Source organism: Homo sapiens, chromosome 6 (genome assembly GCF_000001405.40).
Source record: "Homo sapiens chromosome 6, GRCh38.p14 Primary Assembly".
Taxonomy (NCBI): Eukaryota; Metazoa; Chordata; class Mammalia; order Primates; family Hominidae; genus Homo; species Homo sapiens.
Window position 1 is genome coordinate 25200238 of NC_000006.12, and position 22009 is coordinate 25222246.

The 22009-nt window shown below is 39.3% G+C and overlaps 1 pseudogene, besides 1 other annotated feature; it reads left to right on the plus strand.

Annotated features, from left to right (window-relative positions):
• Nucleotides 7324-7618: an enhancer, noted in NCBI's record as "tiled region #4970; K562 Activating DNase matched - State 8:EnhW". NCBI's record gives its function as "activates a minimal TATA promoter and a strong SV40 promoter by Sharpr-MPRA in K562 cells {active_cell/tissue: K562}" and the evidence as "EXISTENCE:reporter gene assay evidence [ECO:0000049][PMID:27701403]".
• Nucleotides 18472-20931, plus strand: LOC100533655 (aryl hydrocarbon receptor pseudogene; annotated as a pseudogene).

A 22009-nucleotide genomic window follows, 5' to 3' on the forward strand; every position in this document is an offset into this window, starting at 1 on the left:
AAAGGCAAGGAAATGAATTATTCCCTTAGGATCTCTAGAAAGTAATACAGCCTTGCCAACACCTTGATTTTAGTCCAGTGAGAGACATGTTGGATTTCTTACCTAAAAAATTGTGGGCCAGTAAATGTACATTGTTTTAAATCGCCAAGTTTGTGGTAATTTGTCACAGCAACCACAGAAAACTAATACAGCCCCAAGGACAAAAACCATTAGCATGAGAGAATTAACATGATACATACATTAAATCTTGGAGAATGACTGAAATGAGACTTCTGATCTGTGAGATAATTATATTTAAGTATTACAATTGACTGTTGTTTCTATTTCCTAAAAAAAAAAAAAAAGCTACTGCAGGTCAATAAAGTTATAGTAATGAACATAAAAAAGGAAAGATCTGGCGTTGGCACTCAGCTAGTTGTGAGATCTAAGACTATCAACCTTTCTGAAGCATTGTTTTACCACGTGCAAAGTGAGGTTAATATCTGCCCTGGTTAATGCAGTGTTGATTGAATTAAATGTCTATACAGTAAGTGCTACACAAAAATAAGGTATTTTAAAATTATTATTATTTTTAGCTTATGGCTAAACCAATAGTGGGGAAACCACCTAAGCAATCATAGATTGCTGTTATTTAGTGACTATTCAGGTAACCTCATTATTACATTTCATACCGTACATTCAATAAATATTCTTGACAGGCATTCAATATAATGTTTAAAAGCTTAGGCTATGGATTCAGAAAGACCTGAATTCTGTCTCTGAATGCTGTTAGGTAAATTGCTTTAATTCCTCATCTCTAAAATGTGAATAATAGAATTGTTTTGAGAATTAAAGTGAGATAATGTCAATAAAGGACCTACCTCAGGGCCTAGTACATATCAAAGACTAAACTAAATGGCAGCTATCATTATTAATATATATTAATAATGAATATGACATCAACCACTTTTGACCATTTAAGCAAGTTGTACACACATTCCATTTGATTATCACAGCCTCCCTTCAGAAAGCAGCATGGTAAATTTACACCCATGTTTCAGATAAGAAAAATTATGCACAGAGCTGGGTGCAGTTGCTCATGCTGTAATCCCAGCACTTTGGGAGGCTGAGGCAGGTGGATCACTTGAAGCCAGGAGTTTGGGACCAGGCCAGCCAACATGGCAAAACCCCCTCTCTACTAACAATATGAAAATAAGCTGGGCATGGTGGCCTATGCTACTAGTAATCCCAGCTACTTGGGAGGCTGAGGTGGGAGGATAGCTTGAGCCTAGGAGGCAGAGGCTGCTGTGAGCTGAGATGGCACCACTGCACTCCATCTCACTTTTGAGATGGCAAGACTCTGTCAAAAAAAAAAAAAGAAAAGAAAAATGGTGCACAGAAAGAAAATATACCTTAAGTAAAGTAGAGCAAGAACTAGTTCCACCTGAAAAGACTATGTGGAACTACAATAGCTAGAACAGTCTAGGAAGCAATTTCCTTTTGCACAAATCAATGATGCTAGAAGACTAGCAGGAAATCATGAGAATCTCCAATATATTTTACTCTTAAATAGTATTCAGTAGGAAGACAGTGGGATACTAGAGAAGCAGAATTCAGGTAGATTTAAAAGAGCCAAACTTCATGCCTGTAATCCCAGCACTTTGGGAGGCTGAAGTGGGTGAATCTCTTGAATCCAGGAGTTTGAGACTAGCCTGGGCAACATGGCAAATGGCTGTCTCTACAAAAAATACAAAAATTAGCTGGGAATGGTGGTGTGCACCTGCATTCCCAGCTACTCAGGAGGCTGAGGTGGGAGGATCACTTGAGCCCAGGAGGTCAAGGCTGAAATGAGCCATGAGCACACCACGGCACTCCAGCCTGGGTGATGGAGTGTGACCCTGTCTCATTAAAAAAATAAATAAATAAATAAAGGGCCAGGCATGGTGGTTCACACCTGTAATCCCAGCAGTTTGGGAGGCCGAGGTGGGTGGATCACTTGAGGTCAGGAGTTCGAGAGCAGCCTGGCCAACAAGGTGAAACCCCGTCTCTACTTAAAAAAAAATAGATATATATATATTAGCCAGGCATGGTGGCGTGCGCCTGTAATCCCAGCTACTCAGGAGGCTGAGGCAGGAGAATCACTTGAACCCCGGAGGCAGAGGTTGCAGTGAGCCGAGATTGCGCCACTGCACTCCAGTCTGGGCAACAGAGTGACACCCAGTCTCAAAAAAAAAATAAAAAAAAAAAAAAAAAAAGAAAGAAAGAAAGAAAAAAGTAAAAGAGCCAAACTTAGGAAGTGGAAATATTCTGTTGTTGGCCATTCAAAGGAGGGAGGTGAAAAGAGGAAAAATCACCTGCCAAGTATGTTTAGATTTTAGAGGATACACTATGATAGGATCTACAAGAGGAGTTGGAGACATTACAAAATAAACATCTGTATATATTCCTCATTATCCAACAGAAAAGCATAGAAGAAAAACAAATCTTATGTGTAATCACTTGAAATAAGACATTTGGAATGTTGCTCAGTGGTTCCTATTACCTCATGGGAAAGTTTTCCATGAGTTGTTTGGCTTTTCACCAGCTAAAAATAGTAAAATTCAAATAACAAAAAACATTTTGCAAGGAAAGGGTGAACTACATTGGAAGGATCTTTCTTTTAAAGATGGGATGGAGAAATGGGCTGGTGGTTCAGAACACTGTATATGTCGAGCAGCTACTAAGCATGATACTAATGATTTTTTTTCTTCATCTTTTTTCTCATGTCCTTTTCCCCCTTCTTTATTTCTGTCTTCCTTCTGCTTTTCCTACTTTGTCTTCCTTCCCTCCCTGTCTTCCATTCTTAATGAAACAACTCAGCACTCTGTCAACTATCAGAAATCAGCTCAAGCACAGCCATCTACTTTGAGAAGTCTTTTCAGCACCTGGTATGTAACTCCATTGTACTCTCAGCATACATCATCTTTAACATTTTGTTTCATTCCATAATAAAGTAATATGGCCAGGCACCATGGCTCACACCTGTAATCCCAACACTTTGGGAGGCCAAGGCGGGAGGATCTCTTGAGCCCAGGAGTTTGAAAGCAACCTGGGCAACAAAGTGAGACCCCCATCTCTACAAAAAAGTCAAAAAATTAGCTAGATGTGGTGGCATGTGCCTGTGGTCCCAGCTGCTGGGGAGCCTAAGGTGGGAGGATTACTTGAGCCCAGGAGTTCAAGGCTGCAGTGAACCATAATCGCACCATTGCACTCCAGCCTGAGTGACACAGTGAGACCCTGTCTCAATGAATAAATATATGCGACCTATATGTCCAACAATAGGAAAATAGTTAAATACATTAAAAATACATATTTTGGAGAATATTTAATGTTATGAGGAAGTGTTATGTGAAAAAGCAGAATTTAAACTGTATATATTTGTGCATGTATTTAAAAAGTGAGAGGAATACACATCAAATTGTTCATTGTGATTATTTCTTTAAGAGGATGGATGGGATAGAAAGAAGTAACTTTTATATTTAATTGATTCACTTTTAAATTGGTTGAAGGTCCCCCCTGCTGTAAGTATATATTGCTTTTGGATTCTAAAACAAAACTGCTAGAAAAATAGGTGAAAAAAGTCTTAATATATTAACAAGTCAAGCCTAGCAATATGTTAAAAAGAATACATTGAGAGCAGTTGCAGATTTTCCTAGAGAAGCAAGTTTAGTTTATTGTTTGAAAAAAATGAAATTCACTATATTAACAGAATAAAGGAGATAATAAAAATCATTTTAGTAGGTACAGAAAAGGCCGTTTGGCAAAATTCATTATTATTTTATCGTGAATTTTTATAAAAGTCTCAGTAAGTTTAGAATTGGAAGGAACTTTCTCAATCTGATAAAGAACATTTACAAAATACTTATATTTAACATCATATGAAGTGGTGGAATAAATGTTTTCCCCTAAGATAAAAAGAAAAAGCAAAGATGTCTATTCTCAACACTTCTAATCAACATTGTAGAAAATTCCAAGTAATCAGCAAAACAACTATTAGAATAAATGAGTTTCGCAAAGCTGCAAGATGCAAGGTTAGTATAAAAAGCAATTATGTTTTTATATACTAGAAGCAAATGATTTGAAATAAATTTTATTTTCAATATCAAACAATTAGATGTTTAAAAATAAATTTAACAAAGGATGTGCAAGACCTCTACATTGAAAACTGTAAACATCGCTGAAGGACAATGAAGAAAACTGAAGTAAATGGAGAAATGCATCTGTTCATAGATGGAAGGCTTAATGTTGTTAAGATGTCAATTCTCCTCAAATTTACCTGTAGATTCAATGGCAACCCAAATCATAATCCTGAAAGGCGCTTTCAAAGAAATTGACAAGCTGATTCTAAAATTTACACATAAATGAAAAGGACCCAAAATAGCCAAATACATCTTGTAAAAGAAGAACAAACTTGAAGGGCTGGTACTATCTATCTCTATGATTTACTATAAAGTATGGTAATCAAGACAGTGTGGTACCAGCATAAAAAACAGACAAGTAGATAAATAGAACAGAGCTTAGAAGTAGATTCATATTTATATGGTCCACTAATTTTCAACAACAAAAGTATCAAAGCAATCTTATGCAAAAAGAAGTCTTTTCATCAAATGGTACTGAAACAACTGAAAATCCAAATGGGAAAACAAATGAACCTTGACCTTTACCCCACACCTGCACAAAAGTCAACTCAAAATGGATCACAGGTCTAAACAAAGAATAAAACTATGAAACTTCTGGAAGAATGTATTTATGGCTTGGGAGTAGGCAAAAGTTTCTTGGAAAGGACAAAGAAGGCCATAACCATCAAAAAATTGATAAATTAGACTTTATCCAAATTAAAAGCTGCTCCTAATCAAAATACACCACTAAAAAAAAATAGATAAACTCCAGACCAAGAGAAAATATTCTCAAAACTAAAGTGTGACATAGGACTAATAATTGGAATAGATAAGGAACTCCCACAACTCCGTTTCTTTAAAAGGTTCAAACCACTCAATTAAATAAGGGGCAATATATTTGAACAGATATTTTACAAATGAAAATCTACTAATGGCAAATAAACACATGAAAAAGTATTCAATATCATTAGCCGTCAGAGATTAATTATCAGAGCCCAAAAAACCCACAAATTTAAACTACAATAAGGTACTATTACACACCCATCAGAATGGTTAAAATTGAAGACTTTAACACCAAATGCTGGCAAAAATATAGATCAATAGCAACTCTGATGCATTATGGATAAAAGTGTAAAATACATAGCCACTTTCCAAAAATGTCTGGCAGTTTCTTATAAAATTAAACATATACTGAAACCATAACCCGGCAATTTCACTCCTAGGCATTTATTCAAGAGAAATCAAAGCAGATGTGAACAGGCAGAAGGAAAAAAAAATCAGTGGAAGATAGTACATTCAAAATTTTCAAATCTAAAATAAAAGTGAACAGAGATGAAGGGACTTATGAAGCAGATTAATATATGCATTATGAGAATCCAAGGAGAAGAAAGAGATAGTGAGATTATATGCAGAAATAATGACTAAAAAAAATCCCAAATACAATGAAAGACATTAATATACAAATCCAAGAAACTCAGCTTCCAAAGTGGTCCACTCCAAAACATATTATAATCAAACTGTTAAAGACAGAATTGAGAGAAGAGAGAAGCAACTCATCACATACAAGCAATCTTCAAAAATACTATCAATCAATTCTTCAGCATATACTTTGGAGGACAAAATGCAGTGGGATAAAGTGCTGAAAGAAAATGTCAGCTGAGAATTCTGCATCTGGCAAAACAGTCTTTCAAAATGATGGAAAAGTTAAGACATTCACAGATAACCAGAAACCCAGGAAATTCATTACCACTAGACCTGCCTTATAAAAAATGTTAATGGTAGTCCTTCAGGTAGAAATGCAAGGACACTTACAGTAACTCATACCCATAGGAAGATATGAAGATCTTCAGCAAAAATAAATACATGGACTAATATAAAAGAAAGATCAGCCGGGTGATTACAGCCACTTGTAATCCCAGCTACTCAGGGCACTGAGACAAGAAGATCAGCTTGAGATCAGCTGGGCAACATAGCAAGACAGTGTGGTACCAGCATAAAAAAAGACTCATGCACGCGTGCACACACACACACACACACACACACATATACATGAGAGAGGTTTATATATATAATATAATATATATATATTTTATATATATATAAAATATATATATTTTATATATATATATAATATATATATTTTATATATAATATATATAATATATATTTTATATATATAATATATATAATATATATTTTATATATATATAATATATATATTTTATATTATATATAATATATATTTTTTATATTATATATATATAATATATTTTATATATATATATAATATATGAAAGGTAATAAAAGAAAAGCAACAAAATTACAAAAGCAGCAATAAAAATTTTGCAAACTGGGTCTCTCACTGCAGCCAGAGCTCCAGGTCTCCTCTTCACTGCTCTGTGTCCTCTGCTCCTAGAGGTGCAGCTTCTGTGGCCCTGTGACCTGCAGGTATTGGGAGATCCACAGCTAAGATGTCAGGACCCCCCTGAAAGCCTAGAAATGTGTACATTTTTGATTCCATGTTTTAATTAATCATTTTTTGACAACACATTGGATGGCATATTTAAAAAGATGTGTTTAGGGAGGGGCCAAGATAGCCAAATAGAAATAACTCCAGTCTGCAGCTCCCAGTGAGACCAATGCAGAAGGTAGGTGCATTTCCAACTGAGGGACCCAGTTCATTTCACTGGGACTGGTTAGGTATTGGGTGCAACCCACAGACAGCAAGCAGAAGCAAGCTGAAGTGTCACTTCACCCGGAAAGTGCCAGAAGCCAGGGGACCTCCCTCCCGAAGCCAAGGGAAGCCGTGAGGGACCGTGCTACCAAGACTGGGTAGTGCACTTTTCCCATGGTTTTTGCAACCCACAGATCAGGAGGCTCCCTCGTGTGCCTACACCACCAGGGCACTGGGTTTCAAGCCCAAAATTGGGTGGCTGTTTGGGCAGACACCATGCTAACTGCAGGAGTTTTTTTCATACCCCAGTGGTGCCAGGAACCCAAGCAAGATAGAATCATTCACTCCCCTGGAAAGGCAGCTGAAGCCAGGGAGCCAAGTGGTCTGGCTCAGCAGGTCCCACTCTAAAGGAGCCCAGCAAGCTAAGAACCACTGGCTTGAAATTCTTACAGCCAGCACAGCAGTCTGAAGTTGACCTGCGACAATCAAGCTTGGTAGGGGGAGGGGCATCTGCTATTATGAGGCTTTAGTTTTCCCCTGACACTGCTAAGGAGGCTGGGAGGTATGGACTGGGCAGAATTCACCACAGCACAGCACAGTGGATGTGGCCAGACTGCTTCCCTAGATTCCTCCTCACTGGGCAGGGCATCTCTGAAGGAAAAGCAGCAGCCCCAGTCAGGGGATTACAGATAAAACTCTTATCTCCCTGGGACAGAGCACCTGTGGGAGGGGCAGCTGTGGGGCAGCTTCAACGAATTTAATTTTTCCTGCCTGCTGACTCTGAAGAGAGCAGCTGATCCTGACAAGGGGGATTCTCCCAGCACAGTGCACCAGCTCTGCAAAGGGACAGCCTGCCTCCTCAGGTGGGTCCCTGACCCCCGTGCCTCCTGACTGAGAGAGACCTCCCAGCAGGGGTCGACAGACACCTCATGCAGGAGAGCTCTGGCTGGCATCAGGCCAGTGCCCCTCTGGGACAAAGCTTCCAGAGGAAGGAGCAGGCAGCAATCTTTGCTGTTCTGCAGCCTCCACTGGTGATACCCAGGAAAACAGGGTCTGGAGTGGACCTCCAGCAAACGGCAGCAGACTTACAGAGGAGGGGCCTGTTAGAAGAAAAACTAATGCACAGAAAGCAACAACATCAACATCAACATCAACAAAAAAGAACCCCACACAGAAACCCAATCCAAAGGTCATCATCCCCAAAGATCGAAGGTAAATAAATCCACAAAGATGAGGAAAAACCAGCACAAAAATGCTGAAAATTCTAAAAACCAGAATGCCTCTTCTCCAAATGATCACAACTCCTTTCCAGCAAGGACACAAAACTGGATAGAGAATGAGATTGATGAATTGACAGAAGTAGGCTTCAGAAGGTGGGTAATAAACTCCTCTGAGCTAAAGGAGTATGTTCTAACCCAATGCAAGGAAGCTAAGAACCTTGATAAAAGATTACAGGAACTGCTAACTAGAATAACCAGTCTAAAGAAGAACATAAATTGACCTGATGGAGCTGAAAAACACAGCATGAGAACTGTGTGAAGCATTCACAAGTATCAATAGCCAAATCCAACAAGCGGAAGAAAGGGTATCAGAGACTGAAGATCTCCTTACTAAAATAAGGCGTAAAGACAAGATTAGAAAAAAAAATAAGGAATGAAAAGGAACAAACAAAGCCTCCAAGAAATATGGTACTATGTGGAAAAGACCAAACCTATGATTGACTGGTGTACCTGAAAGTGACGGGGAGAATGGAACCAAGTTGGAAAACACACTTCAGGATATTATCCAGGAGAACTTCCCCAACCTAGCAAGACAGGCCAACATTCAAATTCAGGAAATACAGAGAACACCACTAAGATACTCCTCAAGAAGAGCAACCCCAAGACACATAATTGCAGATACTCCAAGGTTGAAACAAAAGAAAAAATGTTAAGGGCAGCCAGAGAGAAAGGTCAAGTTACCTACAAAGGGAAGCTCATTAGACTAACAGTTGATCTCTCTGTAGAAACCCTACAAACCAGAAGAGGGTAGAGGCCAATATTCAACATTCTGAAAGAATTTTCAATCCAGAATTTCATATCCAGTCAAATTAAGCTTCATAAGTGAAGGAGAAATAAAATCCTTTCCAGACAAGCAAATGCTGAGGTATTTTGTCACCACCAGAAGAGCTCCTGAAGGAAGCACTAAATATGGAAAGGAAAAACCAGTACCAGCCACTGCAAAAACACACCAAAATGTAAAGACCAATGACACTATGAAGAAATTGCATCAACTAATGTGCAAAATAACCAGCTAGCATCATGATGACAGGATCAGATTTACCCATAACAATATTAACCTTAAATGTAAATGGGCTAAATGCCCTAATTAAAAGACACAGACTGGCAATTGGATAAGGAGTTAAGACCTATTGGTGTGCTGCATTCAGGAGACCCATCTCACGTGCAAAGACACGTATAGGTTCAAAATAAAGGGATAGAGGAATATTTACCAAGCAAATGGAAGGCAAATAAATGACAGGGGTTGCAATCCTAGTCTCTGATAAAACAGACTTTAAACCAACAAAGATCAAAAAGGACAATGAAGGGCATTACACAATGGTAAAGGGATCAATGCAACAAGAAGAGCTAACTGTCCTAAATATATATGCACCCAATACAGGAGCACCCAGATTCATAAACCAAGTTCTTAGAGACCTGTAAAGAGACTTAGACTCCCACACAATAATGGTGGGAAACTTTAACACTCCACTGTCAATATTAGATGGCTCAACAAGACAGAAAATTAACAAGGATATTCAGGACTTGAACTCAGCTCTGGACCAAGTGGACCTAACAGACATCTACAGAACTCTCCACCCCAACAAAATATATATTCTTCTCAGTACCAAATGGCACTTATTCTAAAATTGATGACATAATTGGAAGTAAAACACTCCTCAGCAAATGCAAAAGAATGGAAATCATAACAGTCTCTCAGACCACAGTGCCGTCAAATTAGAACTTAGGATTAAAAAACTCACTCAAAACCACACAACCACATGGAAACTGAACAACTTGCTGTTGAATGACTACTGGGTAAATAACGAAATGAAGGCAGAAATAACAAAGTTCTTTAAAACCAATGAGAACAAAGAGACAACGTACCAGAATCACTGGGACACAGCTAAAGCAGTGTTAAGAGGGAAATTTATAGTACTAAATGCCCACATCAGAAAGCAGGAAAGATCTAAAATTGACACCTAACATCATAATTAAAAGAACTAGAGAAGCAAGAGCAAACAAATTCAAAAGCTAGCAGGAGACAAGAAATAACTAAGATCAGAACAGAACTGAGAGAGATAGAGACATAAAAAACCCTTAAAAAAATCATTGAATCCAAGAGCTGTTTTTTTTTTTTTTGAGAAGATTAACAAAATAGATGGACTGCTAGCTAGACTAATAAAGGAGAAAAGACAGAATCAAATAGACACAATAAAAAATGATAAAGGGGATATCACCACTGATCCCACAGAAATACAAACTACTATCAGAGAATACTATTAACTATAAACACCTCTACACAAATAAACCAGAAAATCTAGAAGAAATAGATAAATTCCTGGACACACACACCCTCCCAAGACTAAACAAGGAAGAAGTTGAATCCCTGAATAGATCAATAACAAGTTCTGAAATTGAGGCAGTAATGAATACCCTCCCAAACAAAGCCCAGGACCAGACGGATTCACAGCCGAATTCTACCAGAGGTACAAAGAGGAGCTGGTACAATTCCTTCTGAAACTATCCCAAACAATAGAAAAAGAAGGACTCCTCCCTTACTCATTTTATAAGGCCAGCATCATCCTGATACCATCACCTGGAAGACATACAACAAAAAAAGAAAATTATAGGCCAATATCCCTGATGAACATTGACGTGAATATCCTCAATAAAATACTGGCAAACCTAATCCAGCAGCCATCAAAAAGCTTATCCACCATGATCAAGTCGGCTTCATCCCTGGGACACAAGGCTGGTTCAACATGCACAAATCAATAAACATAATCCATTGCATAAACACAACCAATGACAAAACCACATGATTATCTCAATAGATACAGCAAATGGCTTTGATAAAATTCAACATCCCTTCATGCTAAAAACTCTCAATAAACTGGGTATTGATGGAACATCTCAAAATAATAAGAGCTATTTATGATAAGTCTGTAGCCAATATCATACTGAATGGGCAAAAGCTGAAGCATTCCCTCTGAAAACTGGTACAAGACAAGGACGCCCTCTCTCACCACTCCTATTCAACATAGTATTGGAAGTTCTGGCCAGGGCAATCAGGCAAGAGAGAGAAATAAAGTGTATTCAAATAGGAAGAGAGGAAGTAAAATTGTCTCTGTTTGCAGATGACATGATTGTGTATTTAGAAAACTCCATCGTCTCAGCCCAAAATCTCCTTAAGCTGATAAGCAACTTCAACAAAGTCTCAGGATACAAAGTTAATGTGCAGAAATCACAAGCATACACCAATAACAGACCAGCAGAGAGCCAAATCATGAGTGAACTCCCATTCACAATTGCTACAAAGAGAATAAAGTACCTAAGAATATAACTTACAAGGGACATGAAGGACCTCTTCAAGGAGAACCACAAACCACTGCTCAAGGAAATAAGAGAGTAAACAAACAAATGGAAAAACATTCCATGCTCATGGATAAGAAGAATCAATATTGTGACAATGGCCATACAGCCCAAAGTAATTTATAGATTCAATGCTATTCGCATCAAGCTACCATTGACTTCCTTTGCAGAATTAGAAAAAACTACATTCAATTTCATATGGAACCAAAAGAGCCCATATAGCCAAGACAATCCTAAGCAAAAAGAACAAAGCTGGAGGCATCACACTACCTGACTTCAAACTATACTACAAGACTACAGTAACCAAAACAGCATGGTACTGGTATCAAAACATATATATAGACCAATGGAACAGAACAGAGACCTCAGAAATAACACCACACAACTACAACCATCTGATCTTTGACAAACCTGACAAAAACAAGCAGTGGGGAAAGGAGTCCCTATTTAATAAACAGTGCTGGGAAAACTGGCTAGCCATATGCAGAAAACACAAACTGGACCCCTTCCTTACACCTTATATGAAAACTAACTCAAGATGGATTAAAGATTTACATGTAAAACCCAAAACCATAAAAACAATAGAAGAAAACCTAGGCAATACCCTTCAGGACATAGGCATGGGCAAAGACTTCCTGACTCAAATGCCAAAGGCAACTGTGACAAAAGCCAAAATTGACAAATGGGATCTAATTAAACTAAGGAGCTTCTTCTCAGCAAAAGAAACTATCATCAGAGTGAACAGGCAACCTACAGAATAGGAGAGAAATTTGCAATCTACCCATTTGACAAATGTCTAAACAAGGAACTTAACAAGAAAAAAACAAACAATCCCATCAAAAAGTGGATGGAGGATGTGAACAGACGCTTTTCAAAAGAAGACATTTATGCAGCCAACAAACATATTTTTAAAAAGCTCATCATCACTGGTCATTAGAGAAATGCAAATCAAAACCACAATGAGATACCATCTCACACCAGTTAGAATGACGATCATTTAAAATTCAGGAAACAACAGATGCTGGCGAGGCTGTGGAGAAATAGGAATGTTTTTACACTGTTGGTGGGAGTATAAATTAGTTCAACCATTGTGGAAGACAGTGTGGTGATTCCTCAAGGATCTAGAATCAGAAATACCATTTGACCCAGCAATCCTGTTACCAGGTATATACACAAAGGTTTACAAATCATTCTACTATAAAGACACATGTACATGTATGTTTATTGCAGCACTATTTACAATAGCAAAGACTTAGAACCAACCCAAATGCCCATCAGTGATAGACTGGATTAAGAAAATGTGGCACATATACACCGTGGAATACTACACAGCCATAAAAAAGAATGAATTCATGTCCTTTGCAGGGACATGGATGAAGCTGGAAACCATCATTCTCGGCAAAGTAACACAGGAACAGAAAACTAAACACAGCATGTTCTCACTCATAAGTGGGAGTTGAAAAGTGAGAACACATGGAGGAAGGGAGGGGAACATCACACACCAAGGCCTGTTGGGGGGTGGGGTGCAAGGGGAGTGAAAGTATTAGGACAAATACCTAATGCATGTGGGACTTAAAACCTAGATGATGGGTTGATAGATGCAGCAAACCACCATGGCACATGCATACCTATGTAGCCAACCTGCATGTTCTGCACATGTATCCCAGAACTTAAAGTAAAATAAAATAAAATTTAAAATTTTTCAAACTGACCAAGGGTTTGAAAAAAATCAGTCTTATTGTAATTTTGGTTTGTAACACCACTTTTTATTCTCTACAGGATTTAAAAGCCAAATGCATAAAAATTAATTATAAATCTATATTAATGGGTATACAATGTATAAAGATGTAATTTGTGATATCAGTAACATAAAGGTGGGATGAAATTGTATAGGAATATAGTTTTTGTATATGACTGAAGTTAAATTATCAATTCAAAGTAGATCATTATAACTTTAGGATATTACATGTAATCCCCATAGTGATCACAAAGAAATTATCTATAGAAAACACACAAATGAAATGAAAAGGTAATCAAAATGAGTCAGCTCAGAAAAAATAAAGACAAAGAAAGGTAGTAACAGAAGGAATGGGAAACAAAGCTATGATGTACAGAAAATAAATTTAAAAAAGGTAAAAGTAAGTTCTTACCTATCAATAATTATGAGCTACAACATGGTTAAATCTTGAAAACTTTATACTAAATGAAATAAGCTAGACAAAAGAGTAAATATTATATGGTCCCACTTAAATGAGGTATCTAGAAGAATCAAATTGGTAGAGAAAGAAAATATAATAGTGGTTACCAGGGTGGGAGAACAGGGAGTTTCAGTTTGGGATAATAAAAATGTTTTGGAGATGGCGTGTAGTGATGGTTGCACAACAATGTAAATATAGTTAATTCTACCAAATTTCACACTCAAAAAGGGTTAAAATAACATTTATAAGTATTTTACAACTTTTTTTTAAATTAGTACCTTGGAAATTAACAAACTAACTCCTTCCCCACTTTCATTGGCACATGACTTTTTTCCACTCATGTTTTCAACTTGTTGAGACTACTTCCTAGTAGAGTAGGTAGATTCTAATGTTCTGATGCAGGGGGGAATTATAGGACCAAGAGGACAAATAAAAAAATGACATAATCAGAATACAAAAAAAGTTCTGAAACATTCATGATGTTGAAAACATGAGAACCATGAAAGGGAATAATGGAGTTGTGACTACATCTAATAAAGCACCCACTGAATCACTGAATACTGTTTTCCTTGCCCAAAGCATTCACTTTTTCATCAGGAAGCCATATTAAAGATGGCTTTAAATTATTATCTGAGGTTACTGGACAGAAAAATCACATCAACATGACTTTTTATTATTTACTTCACTGCCAAGTCATTGGCAAGCTTTGAAAAAGCTAAGTCTACAATTTGTCATTATTAATACCTGCGTAATAGCCCACATTTTTGTTCCCTTTTAGTTAACTATTTCGGTTGAATCCAGGTTTTTAGAAACCATTATTGATACAAATAATCCTGCTCTAAACAAAAAATTCTAAATATATTTTAGCCATACATATAACATGGTCTCAAATTCATATGTAAACAAGAAAAACTATACCTACATACATAGTCATTGTCTCCTAATACCTTTTTTTTTTTTTTTGAGACCCTCTGAGTCTCGCTCTGTCACCCAGGTTGGAGTGCACTGGTGCGATCTCAGCTCACTGCAACCTCCCCCTCGCAGGCTCAAGCGATCCTCCCACCTCAGCCTCCCGAGTAGCTGGGACTACTGGTGTGTACCACCACACCCGGCTAACTTTTGTATTTTTTAATGGAGTTGGGGTTTCACCATGTTGCCCAAGCTGGTCTTGAGCTCCTGGGCTCAAACTGTCCACCCTCTTGGCCTCCCAAAGAGTTGGGATTTCAGGCCTGAGCCACCGCACCCGACCCTCCCAATACTCTTTCCGTCTGTCACCATTGTGTAGTAGCTATGTGGTTTTAATGGGACTGACAACCTCCTCAGCCAATCAGGGTAGTCCCATCCCCCTTGCCATATTGATTAATTTAACAGTCCTGCCCAAGCTAGTCAGGGCATGGAATTCCCCCAGCCCCCAGGATTAATGTAGAAGTGCGCACCTGACCCAAGATACTCTGAGAAGCTCAAAAAATTTTCACAATAGCTCTGAGAGGTCTGTCTCTGGATGTGAACAAGGATGCATGAAGCCCCATATGTTACTGGCAGCCATCTTGTGACCACAGAAACAGACTAGAGAATAAAGATCGCACACAAGGGAGAACAAAGCTCAAATTCTCACAGAGAAATAAAGTCAGAATTCAGATTAAACCAATCAGCCTTAACCGGACTTAAGTTTTTTTGTACATAAAGATGAATGTAGAAAATAATGCAACGAGGCCAGGCGCGTGGCTTACGCCTGTAATCCCAGCACTTTGGGAGTCCGAGATGGGCGGATCACGACGTCAGGAGATCGAGACCATCCTGGCTAACATGGTGAAACCCTGTCTCTACTAAAAAAATACAAAAAATTAGCCAAGCGTGGTGGCGGGCGCCAGCTACTAGGGAGGCTGAGGCAGGAGACTGGCCGGAACCTGGGAGGCGGAACTTGCAGCCAGCCGAGACCACACCACTGCCCTCCAGCCTGGGCGACAGAGTGAGACTCCGTCTCAAAAAGAAAAAAGAAAAAAGAATATAATGCAACGAACATCCCTGAACCTCCATTGTGTTTTATCATATTTTAGTATCTTGCCTATTTGCCTCAGGAATAGGAGTTTGGGGAGTTTTAAGGTTTGTGTCTTGTTTGTTTTTTCTTGCTTTGTTTTGGAGACAGAGTCTCCCTCTGTTGCCCAGACTGGAGTGTAGTGGCGCAATCACAGCTCACTGCAGCCTTCCCCTCAGGCTCATTCTTGTGCCTCAGCCTCCCGAGTAGCTGGGATTACAGGCCTGCAAGGCCTGCACCCTGCCCGGGTAATTTTTTGCTTTTTTAGTAGAGACGGGGTTTCATCATGTTGACCAGGATGGTCTTGAACTCCTGGCCTCAAGTGATCGCCCACCTCAGTCTCCCAAAGTGCTGGGATTACAGGCGTGAGTGACCGCACCTAGACTTTGATTGCCTTTTCTAATCAATATACAAAACCACTATGGATTTTTGTACATTGGTCAATCTAGAAATGCTGTTGAGGCCTCTTATTAATTCTGTTTATAATATTCTTTGGATTTTCTAATAATCATGTTTATGTAAATTAGTTTATTCTCTTCCTTATTATTATACACTTGATATTGGATATGTCTTGCTCACCACTTCTGACCTCTTTGCCACCCAGGTGCAACCTGATGGTAACCTCACTGTGTCCTGGAAATTGTTCCTGTCCTGGAAATTTGCTCAGCAGCACTCAGAGACAACCCAGAAGTGGGGTAGGGGAGGGAGAGTTAATGCTTGATGAGGAAATCCTTGACAGATGGGGAATAGGAGCAAGTGGAAAAGTGCTTTCCCCTTTATTCCCCTATGCAGACAGTTCTGAGATACATTTCATAAGGCTTCTGAGCAAGTCCTATGAGCTCAAGCAACCAGTGTCTATAGTAGACACTGGTTTTTCAGGTCTATTTCTTTTTCAGGTCTCACTACATTAACCAAATTCTCTCTACAATGTTGACTGACATGGGGATAGCAGGTGTGTTTGTCTTATTTTTGGCTTTAATAGGAATGCCTCCAAAGAGGTATATGGATGATGTGGATATCTGCGTCCTCATGTGCGTGCTCACTAAAGGGCAACCCCTACAGGTAGATAAAAATCACATTCCTGGCTGGGCATGGTGGCTTACGCCTATAATCCCAGCACTTTGGGAGGCTGAGGTGGGCGGATCACCTGAGGTCAGGAGCTCAAGACCAGCCTGGCCAACATGGTGAAACCCTGTCTCTACTCAAAATACAAAAATTAGTCGGGTATGGTGGCACACGTCTGTAATCCCAGCTACTCGGGAGGCTGAGGCAGGAGAATTGCTTGAACCCAGTAGGCAGAGGTTGCAGTGAGCCGAGATCATTCCATTGCACTCCAGCCTGGGCAGCAAGAGTGAAACTCTGTCTCAAAGAAAAAACAAAAATCACATTCCTTCAGTCAGCCTCTTTCCCAAATGCAAAGTGGCCATACTGGCAGGGATCAATAATGTGAGTTCCCCTCTCTGAGGCCTGCTACCAACATTACCAGATGTGGGATCTTCCAACAGCAGAGACCAAAGCTGAGTCTCCAATATAGCACCATTCCCCCGGGAACATCAGCCAACCACCTGGTGACAGATTGATTACATCAGGCCCCTTACATCATAGAAGGAGAACTGATTTGTCCTCCTTGGAATAGACACTATTCTGAATATGGATTAGCTCTCCCTGCCAGAATATGTACTAGCCAGCACCATCTGCACTCACAAAACTGATGGACTGATTCCCTAGAAATTCACTGGCCTTACCAGGTAACCCATGACCACGAAACATGTGGGTCATGGTAACAAGCTGGTAAGAGGCTTACCAAAAACTCAGCTACAGATGGTACCAATTAGGGGACAACACCCTAAAAGGATAGATTCTATCTTACAGAATGCCAGAGGGAGAGAGGGAGACAGGGAGAGAGGGATTGATACATGGGTACTGTTTCTTCCACCAGCCCAGGATCAAGGAATGGTTGTGAGGTGATTCCCCTTATTATTCCATAGCTAACAACTCAATTGCAGGACTTTTGCTTCCCGTCCCAACTCTGAGCCCTGCTGGCTGTGTGTCTTAGTGCCAACAACAATGGAGCCCTTGAATTGGCAGCTGAAACAAGCACCTGGCCTTTTGGGGCTTCTCCTGCCACTGAAACAAAGAACAGTACTCAATTGCTGCAGCCATAGATCCTGATTACAAAAGGGAAATTAGATTGCTACTAAACAACAGGGCTAGGGAAGTCTGTGTCTAAACCCAGGAGATTCTCTGAGATGCCGCTTAATATCTCCATGTCCCATACTAAAAGTCAATGGAACATGCAGGGGGCGGCCTGAGAATCCAGAACATGTCCTGCTCCCCACCACCCCCACCCCACTCCCTCCCAGGGAGGTAGCGGACGCTGGAGCTTCTTAGGCCAGAAGTCCAGGGGCAGGGGCATGGTGGGGGCGCCTTTCTCACCCCGAGAAAACGCAGCGGTGGTCACGGGGAGGGGCGCCACCATGCAGCACCCAGGCCTGGATTCCAGCTAGCAGTATCAGCCTTCTCTCACTTTCGGGCAGCGACACCGCTGGTGTAGACCGTCTCAGGTGCGTCTTCGTTCAGCTCTACTGTCCTCAGCCCCAGCTTGGGCTCGCCCTCAGCCTGCTGGAGCTGTTGGATGTGTTCAGGCCTCCAGGCACCCTGGCCTCCCCCCACCCGCCCCGCGAAGACCGAGGGAAAGCAGACGCGTCTCCGCGGCAACCCGGAGCCTGCAGCCCGCAGGGACCCCACCGCCCCAGGTGCAGGCGTGTACATGCCAGTTGCAGAAAATATCACACCAAACCAGTCTGAGGGAGTCAAAGCAAACTATAATATTTCAGGCGTCAGAGACTCTCCTATTACAGAATTTGCCTGTTTGGATAGCATGACACCTTTTCCACAAGATTTTATTAATAAGCTGCACAAACAGTTTATAGGCTCAGTATCACACACCTGAGAAAAGAGTTTTCTTAACGTTACATTAAAATCCTTCCCAGCTAACAGAAATAGAGGCCAGAATACCATAGAGCAAAACTCAGAAAGCCTGAACACGGAAGGAAACTTCACATATCAGGCTCCGAATGGCTTGGTGTTAGTTATCCCTATAAATCTTTTGTGTTTCTACTATACAATATTCTCCGGCGTTTCTGCTTCTGATGTCAACATCAGAGATGTATGAACTGAACCGCGCCAAAGTCAGAACTCGGCTTCGGCCACACTAGGCATGGCCCAGGTAATCCCAGCTACTCAGGAGGCTAAGGCAGGAGAATCGCTTGAACCCGGGAGGTGGAGGTTGCAGTGAGCAGAGATTGTGCCATTGCACTGTAGCCTGGGCAACAAGAGCAAAACTCCGTCTCAAACAAACAAGAAAACAAAAAACACCTTTCAAGTGCACTGTCTTCCAACAGAACTAATGGAGCTGCTAGCTTCCTCCAGAAACTCTTCTTTTATGGAAATGTGCTTCCTCTGCCAATTAGGAAGTCTGCTGAATAGACTTCCTGGCCATAAATTCCCAAGAGTGGTTAAAGTATCCTAATGGACAGACAAGAAAGGCAAAGATGAATCTTCCACTTCCCTTGGCTTTTGTACAGTAGTTGATCCAGCCATACCTAAACCTCCATTCATATTGAAACCTACACCAAAAACAAACAAACAAAAAACAAACAAAAAACAAACAAAAAACAAACAAACAAAAAACAAACAAACAAAAAACAACTCTAAAACTAAACACAAACTAGATTTTACACCTACAGTTTGGGATGCCAAAAAGAAAAGTTGTTCTGGGATATGCTGAAGCAAAATTGTGTGCATGGGGGATCTGGCTGCTAATACACTTTGTTGAGTCAAAAACTGTGTTCAGATGAGTAAGCCTGAAGAAACAGGCCTGAACATATACAGGCTTTCTACCAAAAAAAGAAAAAAAAAGCAATGGACCTGGGTTCAGTTAAACACAACCTTTGTTTTTAAAATGGCAGGCTAGATTGTATCAGTGCAACTCAAGACATCTCTGAAATGAAGAAGGAACAGAGCATTTATAAAAATAAAATAGAAATTATCTTTTATTATGTTTACTGCTGGAGAAGCCGTGATGGATGAGATAATCAGCCCTTTCCCTGTCATGATGGAACTCTTACTAATGAGGACTAATAGTAGCACTACTGGAAAATACTCTGCTACCAAATTAGCTCAAAATAAGGATTCCATTAATCCTACTTCCCTTCTGAGGGCTATGATGCAACAAAATGAGTCTGGGCGTTTTATCCTGTTTCAAATACTGCACCCTTTGAAAGAGCTTTTTAAATGCATCTATGAGTGAAGCCAGTAATCAGCAAGATAATATTGTGCCAAATGCAAAAAGGCAATGTCTTCAAACATGAATCTATTGATCCATCTCAGCAAATGAACCTGACACTTTGTGGAGATCCTGCAAGTTTCCTTCCACATAATAATAATAATGACCTAATACAAGACTAGGAAAAACTTAAACATTGATTTTGAAGATATCAAATACAATCAGCAGAATGAGGAACTTCAGATCTGACTTTCTGGTAAGGATTTTATCTACTAGGCATAACAGATAAAATCCTAACTTATATCCAAGATTATTTTACAAGTCTACCGTCGTGTATTCAGGTCATAAGCAGTAACATTCCTTGGTTCTCAACTCAAGCTACAGGGTAGTTATAACCACCCCAATAGCTTTAGCACCAACAAATTCATGAGATGAAGTAGCAGCAACTGGGTCATAAAATGAGGCATAGCAAGTAAATGGCAGCTTACAGATTGGAGTTCTAATCAGGCCATGCCTTGCAGATATTCCCAGCAAGACCTACAACAGTATAAGGTGTTTTCCAATTTCCATGCCATGAATCAGACTTTCCCTACAAATCTGAGTTTAATGCTAGGCCTCATATACAGAAACTTAGTGCCTGTATTCAGGCTGTGTCACAACAACATTCCAAGTATACTCAGTTGGACTTCCCTGTAGGAAGTTTTGAACCATTGCTAGTATCCAACTACTTCTAATTTAGAAGATTTGGTCAGTTATTTATAAGTTTCTGAAAACCAACAACATGGAGAAAAAAGCAGTCTGTTGTAACTTTTCAAGTGTGTTATGCCAAGGACATGTCAACAGATCAGTGCCAGCCAGAAACTGCACACCTTTGTGGATCTGATGCAATATAAATACAACTCCAAGCTCATAGACATTTTAAAACAAGTTGCTTTCAATGAAACATATCTAGCTGAATAGCATAAATAACACTCGGACTATTTTATGTCCTCAGCCTCTGTTATCCATCAGAAACCAGATTGACATCCAGTGAGTTCTAACTCCAGGCCTGATTTTCGCCTTAGCTTTGGATGCTGTATAAATTAGCTTGCAGAAGGTTGCAGAATAAAACTGAACGTTCAGTGTCAGCAGGTTGACATGGAGGCACTGATGCACATTCCTTGTACTGTCATTTCAAACCAAATTGTTTTTGATCTTAGAAGATGATTTTAAAATAAAATATAAAATAATCTTATATTTTAATATAGATATATGCATATATAAATTTTAAAATAAAATTTTAAATCATCAGCCATTAAAATAGAAACCGTGCTGCTACAAACAGCAACATATTGCATTTCACCTTATTCTGAGCACCATGTTATATGAGATATTTGAGGGAAAAATGAGCATTTAAGATACTTTAAGAATTTTCTCTATTCAAATTATTATATCAGAATAAAAATGAAACACATGGGGTTTGAACTTATGGGCTGCTATTTTAGTATATCAAATACAAAGTTAAAAATCAAAAACTCTTTCCCTATTTATTAGCTTCTGTTTCTATCTCAGATGCTAAAAGAAGTAGTGTGGTGTTTTTATGAAAAGAAAATATCAATGTTTCCCTTCTTCACTGTTAATGTAAATGACTCACAATTTTTTTTAACCTATAACAGTATAGGTAAGTTAAGTCTCTTATTTCTTATATGATTATTACAATATAGCCAGATAATATGGTTCATATAACTTAGATTCTTAAACATTTTGACTTTAAAGACTTTCTTTGTGACCTAGTACCTGGAGCAGGAGTGAGGTAAGGTAATATTTGAAACTTGAATAGGATATGATTGGAGTTTTAAACAAAATGATGTTTAATAACCAAACTGATCCTGACATTATTAAATCTCCCCAAGATTTCATTAAGTGTCAGGAAAAGGATATTTTGCAGAGCCCAGGTAAAAGCAATGACAGGAAAAAATAATGTCTTCCTACTTTCATTGTCCAGTGAAGCAAGATTGCTCAATAAACCAATTATAGTAGGTCCTCAATTCATGCTTGTTGAAAA